Source organism: Homo sapiens, chromosome 4 (genome assembly GCF_000001405.40).
Source record: "Homo sapiens chromosome 4, GRCh38.p14 Primary Assembly".
In the NCBI taxonomy this organism is placed as follows: domain Eukaryota; kingdom Metazoa; phylum Chordata; class Mammalia; order Primates; family Hominidae; genus Homo; species Homo sapiens.
Genome location: NC_000004.12, coordinates 49,143,375 through 49,162,332, shown reverse-complemented (window position 1 = coordinate 49,162,332; position 18,958 = coordinate 49,143,375). Strand labels below are relative to the sequence as shown.

Here is an 18,958-nt window from a genome sequence, read left to right as displayed (position 1 = left end):
AAGGAATGGGACTGTGGAGAGTATTTTAATCCTCTCAAGTATGACAGGTCACTCCTGTACCACAGACCACACTTTCAGACCCCTTCAAATAAGGAATATTTCCTAAGTCCTTGCCTGTTTTTCTCAGCTGAATTCACCTCAACCTTCTGAAAGTTCGTCCAAACCTTCTACTATCACCTAGTCTTTGCAAATCTTGTGCATTCTAGGGAGTAGAATTAATATTTCCTGAGCAAGGAAAACTGGGATCTTCACCTGTGACCTTTTTTCCTCCTCTGAAGCACCAGTGAGAGGTTAGACCAGACGGCTGTTCTTTCAAGTGTGCTTCTTATTCATAGGGAACCCTCCCTTTCAAACTTTCTAACACACAGTTAAGACTGAAGTACCCTTAAGGCTGACGACCATCATCTATTACGCCATCTCCCTCGCGGAATCAGTGAGTTCTTCCCTGGAAACTAGGTCTCGTATAAACTTCTGTAAATGCGACCCAGGAGGACTAGGCAGGTCACACAGTGAAGGAGGGAACCAGAAACTTCACTTGCTAAAGAGACACCAGGAAACCCAACTAATACAAACGTCAAGTTTAAGACTAGAGGCGCACGCGTTTCACACTACTCCTCTGGGAATGGGGAACGTCTCCCGAGAACTGTGTGTTAGCACTGGGACAGATGGGCAAACTGAGCGTCATGCGGGTTGGTAACCGGGTCCCTCAGCGGCAGGACAGGAGCGCAGCCTGCAGACTCCGGGCCCAGGGCCACCGGCCTCTCCTACCCGCTCCTGTGCCTCTAGAACCCGCGTCACTGCTGGGACCCCACGCCTGTCCTCCCAGCCCCCGCCAGGGTCCGCAGCCCGCACCTGCTCTTCAGGCCCTGCCCTCCCGCGATGCGCCCACGCGTCTGTTCCCACAACTAGGGAACACTGGTCCGGCCCCCTGGGATCCCCTGAGGCTCACGGGTTCCTCCTGGCCCTTGCACCAACCCACAGGGACATAGAACCAAGCCCCAAGCCGGCCCAGCTACAGGACCGCCTCTGGGTGCCACACTTCCGGAGGAAAATGGCGGAGTGGGCCGGGCGGCGCATCCGCAGAGAGAAAAGCTGGTTCCCAAGGTCCTTGATGGTAACGTCATTGGAAGGTGACACTACAATTCCCATGAGGCTTTGCGGTCCTCCTTTAGGAACCCACACCGGACATTCTGTTTTGCCCAGCAGTTGAGTCCAGTTACCCAGAGACCCGGACTTAATGTATCAGGACTGGTCCCTACCCAGTTGACACAGATGTGGCATTCTGGTTCTTTATTAAATACTGGTTTCACAGCCTGGGACATTGTGAAAATAATGAAGAAATTTCAATAGAGGCCAATTGGTCTATGCTATTAATCAGTAACTTTTTTTTTTTTTTTGAGACAGAGTCTCACTCTGTCGCCCAGGCTGGAATGCAATGGTGCGATCTTGGCTCACTGCAACCTCCGCTTCCCGGGTTCAAGTGATTCTCCTGCCTCAGCCTCCTAAGTACCTGGGATTACAGGCGCGCGCCACCACACTCGCCTAATTTTTGTATTTTTAGTAGAGACGGGTTTTCACCATGTTGGTCAGGCTGGTCTCCAACTCCTGACCTCGTGATCCGCCCTCCTCGGCCTCCCAAGGTGCTGCGATTACAAGTGTGAGCCACTGCGCCCAGCCCTCAAGTCTATTTTTTATAGATGCATTCGAAAGCATGAAAAAAATCATGTCTCTATTTTACTTTAAAATTTTAAAAACACAACTAATGAATATGGTAATTCTCTTCCAATCTGTTATCTTTTCTCTCACTAAACTAATTTGTGAGCCTTCAATTTACACAGTTAGAAAATATGCTCTAGTGCATATACTAGGATAAAATAACAGGGTCATAAGACAGGTGCACTCCATAATCTTTGTGACAACTTTCACTTCCAGTGTCTGATAAATATTTGCCCGTAGACTCCCACGTTTCATCCATCCATCCATCAATCAAATCTACCTATCTTTATTTATTTATTGTGAGAAAGACCTGAAATTTGCCTTTCCTTCCCTGATTTCTGCCACAAACTAGGCAAGGAGTTCTGCATAGGGGTTTCTCAGAGCTCTGGCTACCACCGATGTTCCTAACAGGGAAACGCAGGCTTGAATGCTCAGGGTTGATGTGGGAGTGCGTGTGAAACGGGGGTGGGGTGAAAGGGCAGTGACGTTTGTAGGTGGGCAGATGGGGGTGTTGATAGGCTTTCAGGTAAGAGGCACGCAGGAAACTGGGAGAGGCAGCGAAAGCACCTCACACCTCAGATCACCAGAAGACGCTCCCTCCAGTGCCATGACAGTTTGCCAATGCCATGTCATCACGAGAAGTCCCCACCCCTTGCCATGGAAACAGATGGAAGTTACTGCCCATTTCTAGCTATCTCTGAATAACCCGCCCCTTAATTAGCATGCCATTAAAAGTGAATTATAAAAGTGACTACAAGCCACCCCTAGGCTGCTGCTCTGGGAGCACAACCCACGGAGGGCTCCCTGCCCTGCCGGAGTGGATGCAGGGTTGTAACACCGCCAATGCCTCCGTAGAGCTGCTTTCTTCCACCAGAGGCTTGCTTTTGGATTTCTTCCTGAGCGACGCCAAGAACCTGCCCTTCCTCAGTGTGACTCTTGCCTAAAACCTATCCCTGGTATTCTCTTTTCCTAAGCATGCCCTGACTTGTTCTTTCATCTCCTCTGATCTTGCAATTGGTCCTCAGTGACTCTATTCTGCAGATCCAGAAAACTCAACCTTAATCTTCCCAGAGCCCTGTTGTCTCTAATATTGGAATCTATAGCCTTGTTTTCTCAGACGCCTAGATTACAGGCCTCTCTCTTGAACACCTATTGGTATGGTATCCGGGGATCCTTTAAATACTTGATGATTGGCAGGGGTTAAATAGCGGAAATCAGTGCCTGACAATTCACCTTCCAGGATATGGACTGTCATTCCCTCTCTTGGTGGGCCTCAGTCTCTTATCCATAAAAGTAGAGATTGTAATACTCATTTGAATTGCAGATACCTCAACCCGAACCCACCTAATATAATGTAAAAGCCAAGAATGCAACCCCTTTCCTCACCCCGTGAAGGTAAAGCCCTCAGAGCCAAGGAGAGAAGGCTCAGGGATGGTATCTGGGTGTTTCCAACGCTAACCATGTATTGTAGTTTTTAGTGTTCAAGTTTAAGCTTCCCCAGCTTTAATTCTATTGTAACAAGATTTATTTTTGTAATTCCATTTTTGGATTCTTGATTTCTTGGTAAAGAAATACAGTTATTTTTGTATACCAATCTTATACAGTGTTACATTCTTAAATTTGTTCATGAGTCCTAATACTTTTTAGTAAATTTCTTACGATTTTCTAAATGCAAGATCATGTCATCTGTACATAAAGATAACTGTACTTCTTCTTTTCCAATCTAGATGCTGTTTATTTATTTACATTGCCAAATTGTCCCAGCTACCATTGTTATCAAGTAAAAGGGTCTCACTGCCCAAAGCACAAGAAGCCGGTACCATGACACTGAGTTTTCAAGAAAAGAAAAAGTTTAAAGTCAAACCAAAACCTAGGGTAGAGGCCGGGCGCAGTGGCTCATGCCTGTAATCCCAGCACTTTGGGAGGCCAAGGCGGGCGGATGATAGGGTCAGGAGATTGAGTCCATCCTGGCTAACACGGTGAAACCCCATCTCTACTAAAAATGCAAAAAAAAAAAATTAGCCGGGCGTGAAGGCGGGCGCCTGTAGTCCCAGCTACTTGGGAGGCTGAGGCACGAGAATGGCGTGAACCCAGGAGGCGGAGCTTGCAGTGAGCCAAGATCGCGTCACTGCACTCCAGCCTGGGAAACAGAGCGAGACTCCATTTCAAAAAAAAAAAAAACCTATGGGATACAGTAAAAACAGTACTACAGTACTAAGAGGTAAGTTTATAGAAAAAAGCACCTACATCAAAAAAAGTAGAAAAGCTTCAAATAAACAACCTAATAATGCATCTTAAATAATTAGAAAAGCAAGAACAAACCAAAACCAAAATTAGTAGAAGGAAGCATAGCAAAGGTCGGAGCAGAAATAAATGAAATTGAAATTTAGCAATATAAAATATCAATGAAATGAAAAGTTAATATTTTTAAAAGACCAACAAAATCAACAAACATTTAACCAGACTAAGAAAAAAGAGAGAAGATTCCAATACATAAAACCAGAGATTGAAAAGGAGACACTATAACTGATACTGTGGAAATTCAAAGAATCGTTAGAAACTATTATGACCGACTATATTCCAATAAATTGAAAAACCTGGAAGAAATGGCTGGGCACCGTGGCTCATGCCTGTAATCCCAACACTTTGGGAAGCCAAGGCAGGTGATCACCTGAGGTCAGGAGTTCAAGACCAGCCTGGCCAACATGGTGAAACCCCATCTCTACTACAAATACAAAAATTAGCCAGGTATGGTGGCATGCACCTGTACTTCCAGCTACTCCAGAGGCTGAGGCAGGAAAATCACTTGAACCTGGGAGGCAGAGGCTGCAGTGAGCTGAGATTGTACCACGAAGCAGCCTGGGTGACAGAGCAAGATTCCATCTCAAAAAAAAAAACCTAGAAGAAATGGATAAATGAAATTGAAGCCATAATAAAACATCTCCTAGCAAAGAAAAGCCTGGATTCAATGGCTTCACTGGCTTCATGGATTAATTTTACCAAACATTGAAGGCAGAATTACTATCAATCCTACCCAAACTATTCCAAAAAACAGAGAAGGCTGTAGTATTCCAAACTCATCCTATGAAAAAGACCATTCATCACGTCTAAGTGGGATTTATCCCGATGATGCCAACATGGTTCAACATATGCAAATCACTCAATGTGACACATCATATCAACAGAATGAAGGACAAAAACCATATGATAATTTCAATTGATAATGAAAAGCATTTAATAAAATTCAACATCCCTGTGATAAAAAGAAACCCTCAAAAAAAACTAGATATAGAAGGAACATACCACAACACAATAAAAACCAAATGCAGCAGACCCACAGCCAGTATCATCCTGAACAGGGAAAAGCTGAAAGCCTTTCTTCTAAGATCTGGAACAAGACAAGAATGTCCACTTCCAACACTGTTACTCAACACAGTACTGGAAGTCCTAGCTAGAGCAATTCAGACAAGAGAAAAACAATAAAAGGGATGCACATTGGAAAGAAGTAAAATTATTAATGTTTTATTGTTTGCAGATGACTTGATCTTATATTTGGAAAAACCTAAGGACTCCACCAAAAAACTATTAGAACTGATCAACAAATTCAGAGTCACAACATACAAAATCAAGCTACAAAAGTGAGTAGCATTTCTAAATGACAAAAATGAACAATCTAAAGAAGAAAATCAAGAATGTAAACCCATTTACAATAGCTACAAATAAAATAAAATAACTGGGAATAAACATAACAGAAGAAGTGAAAGATCTCTACAATGAAAAGTATAAAATATTGATGCAAAAAAATTAAAGAGGACACAAAAAAAATGGAAAGATTGCCCATGTTCATTTATTGGAAGAGTAAATATTATTAAAATACCCATACTTCACAAAGCAATCTACAGATTCAATGCAATCCTTATTGAAATACTAATAACACACTTCACAGAAATAGAAAAAAAATCCTAAAATTTATATAAAACCATAAGAATGGAATGCAACGGAATGGAATCAACCCGAGTGGAAAGGATTGGAATGGAAAGGAATGGAATGGAATTCAATGGAATGGAATCAAATGGAAAGAAATGGAATGGAACGGAATGGAATGGAATGGAATGGAATGGAATGGAATGGAATGGAATGGATTGGAATGGAATGGAATGGAATGGAATGGAATCAACCCGAGAGGAATGGATTGGAATGGAATGGAGTTATCCCGAGTGGAATGGAATGGAATGGAATCACCCGAGTGGAATGGAATGGAAGGGAAAGCAATGGAATGGAATGGAATAGAATTAACCTGAGAGGCATGGAATGGAAAGGAATGGAATAGAATTGAATGGAATGGAATCAACCCGATTGAAATGGAATGGAATGGAATTGTACGGAATGGAATAGAATGGAATGGAATCAACTCGAGTGGAAAGGAATGGAATGGAAAAGAATGGAATTTAATAGAAAGGAATGGAATGCAATGTCATGGAATGGAGTCAACCCGAGTGGAATGCAATGGAATGGAATGGAAGGGAAAACAGGAATGGAACGGAATCGAATGAAATCAACCCTAGTGGAACAGAATGGAATGGAATGGAATGGAATGGAATGGAATGGAATGGAATGGAATGGAATGGAATCAACTGGAATGAAAGGAAATGGAATGGAATGGAATGCAATGGAATGGAATGGAATCAACCCGAGTGGAATGCAATGGAATGGAATTGAATGGAATTGAATTGAATGTAATGTAATGGAATGGAATCAACCCAAGTGGAATGGATTCGAATGGAGTGGAATGGAATGGAACAGCACGGAATGCAATGGAATCAACTAGAATGGAATGGAATGGAATGGAATGGAATGGAATGGAATGGAATGGAATGGAATGGAACAGAATCAACATGAGTGGAATGGAATGGAATGGAATGGAATGAATACAAGGGAATTTATTGGAAACTAATGGAATGGAAAGGAAACAAACCAAGTGGAATGGAATGCAATGAATTTCAATGGAATGGAATGGAATGGAACGGAATGCAATTCAACGTAATGGAAACAAACAGAGTGGAATGGAATGGAATGGAAAAGACTGGAATGTAATGGAATGGATTGGAATCAACCCGATTCCAATGCAACGGAATGGAATTGAATGGAATGGAATGGAAGGGAATGGAATGGAATGGAAGGGAATGGAATGGAATGGAAAGGAATGGAATGAACTGGAATGGAATGGAATGGAATGGAATTTAAATGAATGGAATGGAATAGAATGGAAAGGAATGGAATCAACCCGAGTGGAGTGCAATGGAAAGGAATGGAAATGAATAGAATGGAATGGAACGGAACGGAATGGAATGAACACCAGTGTAAGGGAATGGAATGGAATGGAATAGAATGGAAAGGAACGGGATAGAATGGAATGGAATGGAATGAACACGAGTGGAATGCAATGGAATGGAATGGATTGGAATGGAATGGAATAAACCCGAGTGGAATAGAATGGAATAGAATGGAGTGGTACGGAAAGGAATTCAATGGAATGGAATGGAGTGGAATGGAATGTAAATGAATTGAAAGGAATGGAATGGAGTGGAATGGAATGGGATGGAATGGAATGGAAAGGGATCAACCCGAATGGAATGGAATGGAATGGAATGGAATGCAATTGAATGGAATGGAATGGAATGGAATGGAATGCAATGGAATGGAATGGAATGGAATTAACCCGTGTGGAATGGAAAGGTATGGAATGGAATGGAATGGAATAAAATGGAACGGAATGGAATGGAATCAACCCGAGTGAAATGCAATGGAAAGGAATGGAATGGAATCAACCCGAGTGGAACGGAATGGAATGGAATGGAATGGAATCAACCCGAGTGGAATGGAGTGGAATGGAATGCAGTGGAATGGAATGGAATGGAAGGCATTGGAATCAACTGGAATGGAATGGAACGGAATGGAATGGAATAGAATGGAATCAATCTGGGTGGAATGGAATGGAATGGAATGGAGTGGAATGGAATGGAATGGAATGGAATGGAGTGGAATGGAATGGAATGGAGTGTAATGGAATGGAATGGAATGGAATGAAATGGAATGGAATGGAATGGAATCAACCCGAATGGAATGGAATGGAATGGAATGGAATGGAATGGAATGGAATGGAATGGAATGGAATGGAATGGAATCAACACAAGTGGAATGGAATGGAAAGGAATGCAATGGAATAGAATGGAATGTTATGGAATCCACCCGAGTGGAATGGTATGGAATGGAATGGAATGGAATGGAAAGGAATAAAATAGATTGGAATAGAATGGCATCAACCCGAGTGAAATGGAATGGAATGCAATGGAATGGAATGGAATGGAATGGAATGGAATCAACCCGAGTGGAACGGAATGGAGTGGAATGGAATGGAATGGAATGGAATGGAATCAACCAGAGTGGAATGGAAAGGAGTAGAATGGAATGGAATGGAATGGAATGCAATGGAATCAACTGGAATGGAATGGAACGTAATGTAAGGGAATGGAATGAATGGAATCAACATGACTGGAATGGAAAGGAATGGAATGGAATGGAAAAGAAATGAATGGAATGGAAACAACCGAGTGTAATAGAATGAAAAGGAATGGAATGGAATGGAATGGAAAGCAATGGAATTCAAAGGAATGGAATTAACTCGAGTGGAATAGAATGGAATGGAATGGAATGGAACGGAATGGAATGGATTGGAATGGAAAGAAATTCTACGGAATGGAATCAACCAGAATGGAATGGAATGGAATGGAATGGCATGGAATGGATTGGAATGGAATGGATTGGAATCAACCCGAGTCGAATGGAATGGAATGGAATGGAATGGAATGGAATGGAATGGAATGGAATGGAATGGAATGGAATCGAATGGAATCAACTGGAATGGAATGAATGGAATGGAATGGAATGGAATGGAATGGAATGGAATGGAATCAATTGGAGTGGAATGGAATGGAATGGAATGGAATGGAATGGAATGGAATGGAAAGGAATGGAATGGAATCAACCCGAATGGAATGGAATGGAATTGAATGGAATGGAATCAAATGGAAAGGAATGGAATGGAATGGAATGGAACGGATTGGAATGGAATGGAATGGAATCAACCCGAGTGGAATGGAATGGAATGGAATGCAATGGAATGGAATGGTATGGGATCAACCATAGTGGAATGGTATGGAATGAAATGGAACGGAACGGAATGGAATGGAATCAACCCGAATGGAATAGAACGGAATGGAGTGGAATGGTATGGAATGGAATGGAATAGAAAGGAATCAACCCGAAGGGTATGGAATGGAATGGAATGGAATGGAATGGAATGCAATGGAATGGAATGGAATGCAATGGAATGGAATCAACCCGAGTGGAATGCAATGGAATGAATGGAATGGAATGGAACGGAACGGAATGGAACGGAACGGAATTGAATGGAATGGAAACAACCCGAGTGGAAAGGAATGGAATGGAAAGGAATGGAATTGAATTGAATGGAATGGAATGGAATGGAATGGAATGGAATGGAATGGAATGGAATAACATGCAATCAACTTTGGTGGAATGGTATGGAATGGAATGGAATGGAGTGGAATGGAACGGAATGGAATGGAATGGAATAAAATGGCATGGAATGGAACGGAATCAACCCGAATGGAATGGAGTGGAATGGAGTGGAATCGTATGGAATGGAATGGAATGGAAAGGAATCAACCCGAAGGGTATGGAATTGAATGGAATGGAATGGAATGGAAAGTAATGGAATCAACCCGAGTGGAATGCAACGGAATGAAACGGAATGGAATGGAACGGAAAGGAACGGAACGGAACATAATTGAATGGAATGGAATCAACCCGAGTGGAAAGGAATGGAATGGATGGAATGGAATGGAATAACATGCAATCAACTTGGTGGAATGGTATGGAATGGAATGGAATGGAATAAAAGGGTATGGAATGGAACAGAATCAACCTGAATGGAATGGAACAGAATGGAGTGGAATGGTATGGAATGGAATGGAATGGAAAGGAATCAACCCGAAGGGTATGGAATGGAATGGAATGGAATGGAATGGAATGGAATGGAAGGGAATGGAATCAACCCCAGTGGAATGCAATGGAAGGAAATGGAATGGAATGGAATGGAATGGAATGGAACGGAACGGAACGGAATTGAATAGAATGGAATCAACCCAAGTGGAAAGGAACGGAATGGAATGGAATGGAATGGAATGGAATGGAATGGAATGGAATGGAATGGAATGGAATAGCATGCAGTCAACTTTGGTGGAATGGTATGGAATGGAATGGAATGGAATGAAATGGAATGGAATGGAATAAAAGGGCATGGAATGGAATGGAATCAACCCGAGAGGAATGGAATGGAATGGAATGGAAAAGAATCAAACCGAGTGGAATGGAATGGAATGGAATGGAATGGAATGGAATGGAATGGAATGGAATAACATGCAATCAAATTTGGTGGAATGGTATGGAATGGAATGGAGTGGAATGGAACGGAATGGAATGGAATGGAATAAAAGGGCATGGAATGGAACGGAATCAACCCGAATGGAATGGAGCGGAATGGAGTGGAATGGTATGGAATGGAATGGAATGGAATGGAATGGAAAGGAATCAACCCGAAGGGTATGGAATTGAATGTAGTGGAATGGAATGGAAAGTAATGGAATCAACCCGAGTGGAATGCAATGGAATGAAACGGAATGGAATGGAACGGAAAGGAATGGAACAGAACGGAACGGAATTGAATGGAATGGAATCAACCCGAGTGGAAAGGAATGGAATGGGTGGAATGGAATGGAATGGAATGGAATAACATGCAATCAACTTTGGTGGAATGGTATGGAATGGAATGGAATAACATTCAATCAACTTTGGTGGAATGATATGGAATGGAATGGAATGGAATAAAAAGGCATGGAATGGAACAGAATCAACCCGAATGGAATGGAACAGAATGGACGGGAATGGTATGGAATGGAATGGAATGGAAAGGAATCAACCCGAAGGGTATGGAATGGAATGGAATGGAATGGAATGGAAAGGAATGGAAAGGAATGGAATCAACCCCAGTGGAATGCAATGGAAGGAAATGGAATGGAATGGAATGGAATGGAACGGAACGGAACGGAACGGAATTGAATGGAATTGAATCAACCCAAGTGGAAAGGAACGGAATGAAATGGAATGGAACGGAATGGAATGGAATGGAATAGCATGCAGTCAACTTTGGTGGAATAGTATGGAATGGAATGGAATGGAATGGAATGGAATGGAATGGAATGGAATGGAATGGAATAAAAGGGCATGGAATGGAATGGAATCAACCCGAGAGGAATGGAATGGAATGGAATGGAAATGAATCAAACCGAGTAGAATGGAATTGAATGGAATGGAATGGAATGGAATGGAAACAATGCAATGCAATGGTATCAACTGGAATGGAATGCATTGGAATGGAATGGAATGGAATCACCCTGAGTGGAAAGGAATAGAATGGAATGGAATGGAAAGGAACGGAATTGAATCAACCCGAGTGGAATGGAATGGAATGGAATGGAATGGAATGGAATGGAATGGAATGGAATCAACCTGAGTAGAATGGAATGGAATGAAATGCAATAGAATGGAATGGAATGGAATGGAATGGAATGGAATGGAATGGAACAGAACGGAATGGAATGGAATGGAATTGATTGAATCCGAGTGGAACTGAAAAAAATGGAATGCATTGGAATGGAATGGAATGGATTCAACCCGAGTGGAATGTAATGAATAGGAATGGAGTGGAATGCAACGGAATGGAATGGAATGTAATGGAATGGAACGGAATGGAATGGAGTCAACCTGAATGGAATGGAATGGAATGGAATGGAATGGTATGGAATGGAATGGAATGGAAAGGTATGAACCCAAATGGAATGCAATGGAATGGAATGGAAAGGTATGAACCCAAATGGAATGCAATGGAATGGAATGAAATGGAATGGAATGGAATGGAATGGAATGGAATGGAATGGAATGGAATGGAATGGAATGGAATCACCCCGAGTGGAATGCAATGGAATGGAATGGAATGGAATGGAATGGAATGGAATGGAATGGAACGGAATGGAATGGAACAGAATGGAAAGGAATGGAATGGAATCAACCCGAGAGGAAAGGAATGGAATGGAATGAAATGGAAAGGAATGGAAAGGATTTAAATGGAATGGAATGGAATGGATTGGAATGGAAAGGAAAGGAATGAAATGCAATGGAATGGTATGGAATCAAATTTAGTGGAATGCTATGGAATGGAACGGAAGGGAATGGAATGGAATGGATTGAAATGGAATGGAATCAACCCAAGTGTAAGGGAATGTAATGGAATAGATAGGAATGGAAAGGAATGGAATGCAATGGAATCAACTGGAATGGAATACAATGGAATGGAACGGAATCAACTTGAGTGAAATGGAATGGAATGGAATGGAATGGAAACTAATGAAATGGAATGGAAACGACCCGAGTGGAATGGAATGCAATGGAATGGAATGGAATGGAATGGAATGGAATGGAATGGAATGGAATGGAATGGAATTCAACGTAATGGAAACAACCAAAGAGGAATGGCATGGAATGGAAAGACTTGAATGTAATGGAATGGATTAGAATCAACCCGATTAGAAAGTAATGGAATGCAATGGAATGGAATGGAATTTAATGGAATGGAATGGAATGGAATGGAATAGAATGGAACGGAATGGAATGGAACGGAACGGAATGGAATGGAATGGAATGGAATCAACTCGAGTGCAATGGAATGGAATGGAATGGAATAGAATGGAATGGAATGGTATGGAATGCAATGGAATGGATTTGAATGGAATGGAACGGAACGGAACGGAATGGAATGGAATGGAATGGAATGGAATGGAATGGACCCCAATGGAATGGAATGGAATGGAATGGAATGGAATGGAATGGATTGGAATGGAATGGAACGGAATTAAACAGAGTAGAATGGAATGTAACGGAATGGAGTGGAATGGAATGGAATGGAATGGAATGGAATGGAATGGAATGGAATGGAATGGAATGGAATCAACCCGAGTGGAATGGAATGGAATGGAATGGAATGGAATGGAATGGAATGGAATGGAATGGAATGGAATGGAATGGATTGGAATGGAATGGAATGTAATCAACCCGAGTGGAATGGAATGGAATGGAATGGAATGGAATGGCATGGTATCAACCCTAGTGGAATGGTATGGAATGGAATGGAATGGAACGGAATGGAATGGAATCAACCCGAATGGAAAGGAATGGAAAGGAGTGGAATGGAATGGATTGGAATGGAATGGAATGGAATCAACGCGAGTGGAATGGAATGGAATGGAATGCAATGGAATGGAATGGCATGGAATCAACCCTAGTGGAATGGTGTGGAATGGAATGGAACGGAACGGAATGGAAGGGAATCAACCCGAATGGAATGGAAAGGAATGGAGTGGAATGGTATGGAATGGAATGGAATGGAAAGGAATCAAACCGAAGGGAATGGAATGGAATGGAATGGAATGGAATGGAATGGAATGAAATCAACCCGAGTGGAATGCAATGGAATGAAACGGAATGGAATGGAATGGAACGGAATGGAATGGAACGGAATTGAATGGAATGGAAACAACCCGAGTGGAAAGGAATGGAATGGAATGGAATTGAATGGAATGGAATGGAATTGAATGGAATGGAATGGAATGGAATGGAATGGAATGGAATAACATACAATCAACTTTGGTGGAATGGTATGGAATGGAATGGAATAGAATGGAATGGAATGGAATAAAAGGGCATGGAATGGAACGGAATCAACCCGAATGGAATGGAGCGGAATGGAGTGGAATGATATGGAATGTAATGGAATGGAAAGGAATCAAACCAAAGGGTATGGAATTGAATGGAATGGAATGGAATGGAATTGAAAGGAATGGAATCAACCCGAGTGGAATGCAATGGAATGAAATGGAATGGAATGGAAACGAACGGAACGGAACGGAACGGAATTGAATGGAATGGAATCAAAACGAGTGGAAAGGAATGGAATGGAATGGAATGGAATGGAATAACATGCAATCAACTTTGGTGGAATGGTAAGGAATGGAATGGAACGCAATGGAATGGAATGGAATGGAATGGAATAAAAGGGCATGGAATGGAACAGAATCAACTCGAATGAAATGGAACGGAATGGAGTGGAATCTATGGAATGGAACGGAATGGAAAGGAATCAATCCGAAGGTTATGGAATGGAATGGAATGGAATGGAATGGAATGGAATGGAATCAACCTGAGTGGAATGCAATGGAATAAAATGGAATGGAATGGAATGGAACGGAACGGAACGGAATGGAACGGAATTGAATGGAATGTAATCAACCCGAGTGGAAAGGAATGGAATGGAATGGAATGGAATGGAATGGAATGGAATGGAATAGAATGGAATGGAATGGAATAGCATGCAGTCAACTTTGGTGGAATGGTATGGAATGGAATGGAATGGAATGGAATGGAATGGAATGGAATAAAGGGGCATGGATTGGAATGGAATCAACCCAAGAGGAATGGAATGGAATGGAATGGAATGGAATGGAATTGAATGGAACGGAAATGAATAAAACCGAGTGGAATGTAATGTAATGTAATGGAATGGAATGGAACGGAATGGAAACAATGCAATGCAATGGTATCAACTGGAATGGAATGCATTGGAATGGAATGGAATGGAATCAACCTGAGTGGAAAGGAATGGAATGGAATGGAAAGCAATGGAATTCAAAGGAATGGAATTAACTCGAGTGGAATAGAATGGAATGGAATGGAATGGAATGGAATCGAATGGTATGGAATGGATTGGAATGGAAAGAAATTCAACGGAATGGAATCAACCAGAATGGAATGGAATGGAATGGAATGGAATGGAATGGAATGGAATGGAATGGATTGGAATGGAATGGATTGGAATCAACCCGAGTCGAATGGAATGGAATGGAATGGAATGGAATGGAATGGAATGGAATGGAATCAACCCCAATGGAATGGAATGGAATGGAATAGAATGGAATCAACTCGAATGGAATGGAATGGAATGGAATGGAATGGAATGGAATGGAATGGAATGGAAAGGAATGGAATGGAATCAACCCGAATGGAATGGAATGGAATGGATTGGAATGGAATGGAATGGAATCAACCCGAGTGGAATGGAATGGAATGGAATGGAATGCAATGGAATGGAATGGTATGGGATCAACCCTAGTGGAAAGGTATGGAATGCAATGGAACGGAATGGAAAGAAATGGAATCAACCTAAATGGAATAGAACGGAATGGAGTGGAATGGGATGGAATGGAATGGAATGGAAAGGAATCAACCCGAAGGGTATGGAATGGAATGGAATGGAATGGAATGGAACGGAACGGAACGGAATGGAATTGAATGGCATGGAAACAACCCGAGCGGAAAGGGATGGAATGGAATGGAATGGAATGGAATTGAATCGAATGGAATGGAATAGAATGGAATAACATGCAATCAACTTTGGTGGAATGGTATGGAATGGAATGGAATGGAATGGAAGGGAATGGAATAAAAGGACATGGAACAGAACGGAATCAACCCGAATGGATTGGAGCGGAATGGAGTGGAATGGTATGGAATGGAATGGAATGGAAAGGAATCAACCTGAAGGCTATGGAATTGAATGGAATGGAATGGAATGGAAAGAAATGGAATCAACCCGAGTGGAATGCAATGGAATGAAACGCAATGGAATGGAACGGAAAGGAATGGAACGGAACGGAATGGAATTGAATGGAATGGAATCAAACCGACTGGAAAGGAAAGGAATGGAATGGAATAGAATGGAATGGAATGGAATGGAATGGAATGGAATGGAATGGAATGGAATGGAATGGAATAGAATGGAATAACATGCAATCAACTTTGGTGGAATGGTATGGAATGGATTGGAATGGAATAAAAGCATGGAATGGAACAGAATCAACCCGAATGGAATGGAACGGAATGGAGTGGAATGGTATGCAATGGAATGGAATGGAAAGGAATCAACCCGAAGGGTATGGAATGGAATGGAATGGAATGGAATGGAATGGAATGGAATGGAATGGAATCAACCCCAGTGGAATGCAATGGAAGGAAATGGAATGGAATGGAATGGAACAAAATGGAACAGAACGGAACGGAATTGAATGGAATGGAATGTAATCAACCCAAGTGGAAAGGAACGGAATGGAATGGAATGAAATGGAATGGAATGGAATGGAATGGAATGGGATAGCATGCAATCAACTTGGTGGAATGGTATGGAATGGAATGGAATGGAATGGAATGGTATGGAATGGAATGGAATGGAATGGAATGGAATGGAATGGAATGGAATAAAAGGGCATGGAATGGAATGGAATCAACCCGAGAGGAATGGAATGGAATGGAATGGAAATGAATCAAACCAAGAGGAATGGAATGGAATGGAATGGAATGAAAACAATGCAATGCAATGGTATCAACTGGAATGGAATGAATTGGAATGGAAAGGAATGGAATCACCATGAGTGGAATGGAATGGAAAGGAATGGAATGGAATGGAAACTAATGAAACGGAATGGAAACAACCCGAGTGGAATGGAATACAATGGAATGGAATGGAATGGAATGGAATGGAATGGAATGGAATACAACAAAATGGAAACAACCCGAGTGGAATGGCATGGAATGGAAAGGATTTGAATATAATGGAATGGATTGGAATCAACCCGATTAGAAACTAATGGAATGGAATGGAATGGAATGGAATGGAATCGACCCGAGAGGAATGGAATGGAATGGAATGGAATTTAATGGAATGGAATGGAATGGAATGGAATGGAATGGAATGGAATGGAATGGAACGGAACGGAACGTAATGGAATGGAATGGAATGGAATCTACACGAGTGGAATGGAATGGAATGGAATTTAATGGAATGGAATGGAATAGAATGGTATGGAATCAACCCGAGTGGAATGGTATAGAATGGAATGGAATAGAATGGTATAGAATCAACCCGAGTGGAATGGTATAGAATGGAATGTAATGGAATGAAATGGAATGGAATAAAATGGAATGGAATGGAATGGAATGGAAACTAATGAAATGGAATGGAAACAACCCGAGTGGAATGGAATGGAATGGAATGGAATGGAATGGAATGGAATGGAATGGAATGGAATGGAATTCAATGGAATGGAAACAACACAAGAGGAATGGCATGGAATGGAAAGACTTGAATGTAATGGAATGGATTAGAATCAACCCGATTAGAAGGTTGGAATGGAATGGAATGGAATGGAATGGAATGGAATGGAATGGAATGGAATGGAATGGAATGGATTGGAAGGGAATGGAACGGAATTAACCAGAGTAGAATGGAATGTAATGGAATGGAGTGGAATGGAATGGAATGGAATGGAATGGAATGGAATCAACACGAGTGGAATGGAATGGAATGGAATGCAATGGAATGGAATGGCATGGAAACAACCCTAGTGGAATGGTATGGAATGGAACGGAACGGACCGGAATGGAATGGAATCAACCTCGAATGGAATGGAAATGGAATGGATTAGAATCAACCCGATTAGAAGGTTGGAATGGAATGGAATGGAATGGAATGGAATGGAATGGAATGGAATGGAATGTAAAGCAATGGAACGGAATGGAATGCAACGGAACGGAATGGAATGGAATGGAATGGAATCAACTCGAGTGGAATGGAATGGAATGGAATGGAACGGAATGGAATGCAACAGAACGGAATGGAATGGAATGGAATGGAATCAACTCGAGTGGAATGGAATGGAATGGAATGGAATAGAATGGAATGGAATGGTATGGAATGCAATGGAATGGAATGGAATGGAATGGAATGGAATGGAATGGAACGGAACGGAACAGAATGGAATGAAATGGAATGGACCCCAATGGAATGGAATGGAATGGAATGGAATGGAATGGAATGGAATGGAATGGAATGGAATGGATTGGAAGGGAATGGAACGGAATTAACCAGAGTAGAATGGAATGTAATGGAATGGAGTGGAATGGAATGGAATGGAATGGAATGGAATGGAATCAACACGAGTGGAATGGAATGGAATGGAATGCAATGGAATGGAATGGCATGGAAACAACCCTAGTGGAATGGTATGGAATGGAACGGAACGGACCGGAATGGAATGGAATCAACCCGAATGGAATGGAATGGAATGGAGTGGAATGGTATGGAATGGAATGGAATGGAAAGGAATCAACGCGAAGGGTATGGAATGGAATGGAATGGAATGGAATGGAATGGAATGGAATGGAATGAAATCAACCCGAGTGGAATGCAATGGAATGAAATGGAATGGAATGTAACGGAACGGAACGGAACAGAATGGAATGGAATGGAATCAACCCGAGTGGAAAGGAATGGAATGGAATGGAATTGAATGGAATGGAATGGAATGGAATGGAATGGAATGGAATGGAATGGAATGGAATAACATGCAATCAACTTTGGTGGAATGGTATGGAATGGAATGGAATAGAATGGAATGGAATGGAATAAAGGGGGATGGAATAGAACGGAATCAACCCGAATAGAATGGAGCGGAATGGAGTGGAATGATATGGAATGGAATGGAATGGAAAGGAATGGAATCAACCCGAGTGGAATGCAATGGAATGAAATGGAATGGACTGGAACGGAACGGAACGGAACGGAATGGAATTGAATGGAATGGAAACAACCCGAGTGGAAAGGAATGGAATGGAATGGAATGGAATTGAATGGAATGGAATGGAATGGAATGGAATGGAATGGAATGGAATGGAATGGAATGGAATGGAACATGCAATCAACTTTGGTGGAATGGTATGGAATGGAATGGAATGGAATGGAATAAAAGGGCATGGAATGGAACGGAATTAAACCGAATGGAATGGAGCGGAATGGAGTGGAATGGTATGGAATGGAATGGAATGGAAAGGAATCAAACCGAAGGGTATGGAATGGAATGGAATGGAATGGAAAGGAATGGAATCAACCCTAGTGGAATGCAATGGAATGAAACGCAATGGAATGGAACGGAAAGGA

General features: G+C 41.8%; 1 long non-coding RNA gene across 3 annotated transcripts in view, besides 15 other annotated features; it reads right to left on the bottom strand.

Moving 5' to 3' along the window:
- The window catches only part of LOC101927209 (uncharacterized), a 46,966-nt gene extending 45,903 nt beyond the window's left edge, over positions 1-1,063 (bottom strand). The window contains exon 1 of one of the 3 annotated variants that reach the window (XR_007058113.1): positions 976-1,063. This is a non-coding gene — a long non-coding RNA (uncharacterized LOC101927209). Of the gene's footprint in view, positions 1-252 lie in introns of all 3 variants that reach the window. The other 2 variants (XR_007058112.1, XR_007058114.1) reach the window with 2 other exon arrangements.
- Positions 5,589-6,577: an enhancer, noted in NCBI's record as "OCT4-NANOG hESC enhancer chr4:49157773-49158761 (GRCh37/hg19 assembly coordinates)". NCBI's record gives its function as "activates a minimal SCP1, AML or CMV promoter by ChIP-STARR-seq in naive and primed H9 embryonic stem cells {active_cell/tissue: H9 hESC(naive and primed)}" and the evidence as "EXISTENCE:reporter gene assay evidence [ECO:0000049][PMID:30033119]".
- Positions 6,578-7,566: an enhancer, noted in NCBI's record as "OCT4-NANOG-H3K27ac-H3K4me1 hESC enhancer chr4:49156784-49157772 (GRCh37/hg19 assembly coordinates)". NCBI's record gives its function as "activates a minimal SCP1, AML or CMV promoter by ChIP-STARR-seq in naive and primed H9 embryonic stem cells {active_cell/tissue: H9 hESC(naive and primed)}" and the evidence as "EXISTENCE:reporter gene assay evidence [ECO:0000049][PMID:30033119]".
- Positions 7,567-8,555: an enhancer, noted in NCBI's record as "OCT4-NANOG-H3K27ac-H3K4me1 hESC enhancer chr4:49155795-49156783 (GRCh37/hg19 assembly coordinates)". NCBI's record gives its function as "activates a minimal SCP1, AML or CMV promoter by ChIP-STARR-seq in naive and primed H9 embryonic stem cells {active_cell/tissue: H9 hESC(naive and primed)}" and the evidence as "EXISTENCE:reporter gene assay evidence [ECO:0000049][PMID:30033119]".
- Positions 8,556-9,545: an enhancer, noted in NCBI's record as "OCT4-NANOG-H3K27ac-H3K4me1 hESC enhancer chr4:49154805-49155794 (GRCh37/hg19 assembly coordinates)". NCBI's record gives its function as "activates a minimal SCP1, AML or CMV promoter by ChIP-STARR-seq in naive and primed H9 embryonic stem cells {active_cell/tissue: H9 hESC(naive and primed)}" and the evidence as "EXISTENCE:reporter gene assay evidence [ECO:0000049][PMID:30033119]".
- Positions 10,140-10,657: an enhancer, noted in NCBI's record as "OCT4-NANOG hESC enhancer chr4:49153693-49154210 (GRCh37/hg19 assembly coordinates)". NCBI's record gives its function as "activates a minimal SCP1, AML or CMV promoter by ChIP-STARR-seq in primed H9 embryonic stem cells {active_cell/tissue: H9 hESC(primed)}" and the evidence as "EXISTENCE:reporter gene assay evidence [ECO:0000049][PMID:30033119]".
- Positions 10,843-11,468: an enhancer, noted in NCBI's record as "OCT4-NANOG-H3K4me1 hESC enhancer chr4:49152882-49153507 (GRCh37/hg19 assembly coordinates)". NCBI's record gives its function as "activates a minimal SCP1, AML or CMV promoter by ChIP-STARR-seq in naive and primed H9 embryonic stem cells {active_cell/tissue: H9 hESC(naive and primed)}" and the evidence as "EXISTENCE:reporter gene assay evidence [ECO:0000049][PMID:30033119]".
- Positions 11,469-12,095: an enhancer, noted in NCBI's record as "OCT4-NANOG-H3K4me1 hESC enhancer chr4:49152255-49152881 (GRCh37/hg19 assembly coordinates)". NCBI's record gives its function as "activates a minimal SCP1, AML or CMV promoter by ChIP-STARR-seq in naive and primed H9 embryonic stem cells {active_cell/tissue: H9 hESC(naive and primed)}" and the evidence as "EXISTENCE:reporter gene assay evidence [ECO:0000049][PMID:30033119]".
- Positions 12,206-13,041: an enhancer, noted in NCBI's record as "OCT4-NANOG-H3K27ac-H3K4me1 hESC enhancer chr4:49151309-49152144 (GRCh37/hg19 assembly coordinates)". NCBI's record gives its function as "activates a minimal SCP1, AML or CMV promoter by ChIP-STARR-seq in naive and primed H9 embryonic stem cells {active_cell/tissue: H9 hESC(naive and primed)}" and the evidence as "EXISTENCE:reporter gene assay evidence [ECO:0000049][PMID:30033119]".
- Positions 13,042-13,879: an enhancer, noted in NCBI's record as "OCT4-NANOG-H3K27ac-H3K4me1 hESC enhancer chr4:49150471-49151308 (GRCh37/hg19 assembly coordinates)". NCBI's record gives its function as "activates a minimal SCP1, AML or CMV promoter by ChIP-STARR-seq in naive and primed H9 embryonic stem cells {active_cell/tissue: H9 hESC(naive and primed)}" and the evidence as "EXISTENCE:reporter gene assay evidence [ECO:0000049][PMID:30033119]".
- Positions 13,880-14,717: an enhancer, noted in NCBI's record as "OCT4-NANOG-H3K27ac-H3K4me1 hESC enhancer chr4:49149633-49150470 (GRCh37/hg19 assembly coordinates)". NCBI's record gives its function as "activates a minimal SCP1, AML or CMV promoter by ChIP-STARR-seq in naive and primed H9 embryonic stem cells {active_cell/tissue: H9 hESC(naive and primed)}" and the evidence as "EXISTENCE:reporter gene assay evidence [ECO:0000049][PMID:30033119]".
- Positions 14,718-15,555: an enhancer, noted in NCBI's record as "OCT4-NANOG-H3K27ac-H3K4me1 hESC enhancer chr4:49148795-49149632 (GRCh37/hg19 assembly coordinates)". NCBI's record gives its function as "activates a minimal SCP1, AML or CMV promoter by ChIP-STARR-seq in naive and primed H9 embryonic stem cells {active_cell/tissue: H9 hESC(naive and primed)}" and the evidence as "EXISTENCE:reporter gene assay evidence [ECO:0000049][PMID:30033119]".
- Positions 15,556-16,392: an enhancer, noted in NCBI's record as "OCT4-NANOG-H3K4me1 hESC enhancer chr4:49147958-49148794 (GRCh37/hg19 assembly coordinates)". NCBI's record gives its function as "activates a minimal SCP1, AML or CMV promoter by ChIP-STARR-seq in naive H9 embryonic stem cells {active_cell/tissue: H9 hESC(naive)}" and the evidence as "EXISTENCE:reporter gene assay evidence [ECO:0000049][PMID:30033119]".
- Positions 16,393-17,230: an enhancer, noted in NCBI's record as "OCT4-NANOG-H3K27ac-H3K4me1 hESC enhancer chr4:49147120-49147957 (GRCh37/hg19 assembly coordinates)". NCBI's record gives its function as "activates a minimal SCP1, AML or CMV promoter by ChIP-STARR-seq in naive H9 embryonic stem cells {active_cell/tissue: H9 hESC(naive)}" and the evidence as "EXISTENCE:reporter gene assay evidence [ECO:0000049][PMID:30033119]".
- Positions 17,231-18,067: an enhancer, noted in NCBI's record as "OCT4-NANOG-H3K27ac-H3K4me1 hESC enhancer chr4:49146283-49147119 (GRCh37/hg19 assembly coordinates)". NCBI's record gives its function as "activates a minimal SCP1, AML or CMV promoter by ChIP-STARR-seq in naive H9 embryonic stem cells {active_cell/tissue: H9 hESC(naive)}" and the evidence as "EXISTENCE:reporter gene assay evidence [ECO:0000049][PMID:30033119]".
- Positions 18,068-18,906: an enhancer, noted in NCBI's record as "OCT4-NANOG-H3K27ac-H3K4me1 hESC enhancer chr4:49145444-49146282 (GRCh37/hg19 assembly coordinates)". NCBI's record gives its function as "activates a minimal SCP1, AML or CMV promoter by ChIP-STARR-seq in naive H9 embryonic stem cells {active_cell/tissue: H9 hESC(naive)}" and the evidence as "EXISTENCE:reporter gene assay evidence [ECO:0000049][PMID:30033119]".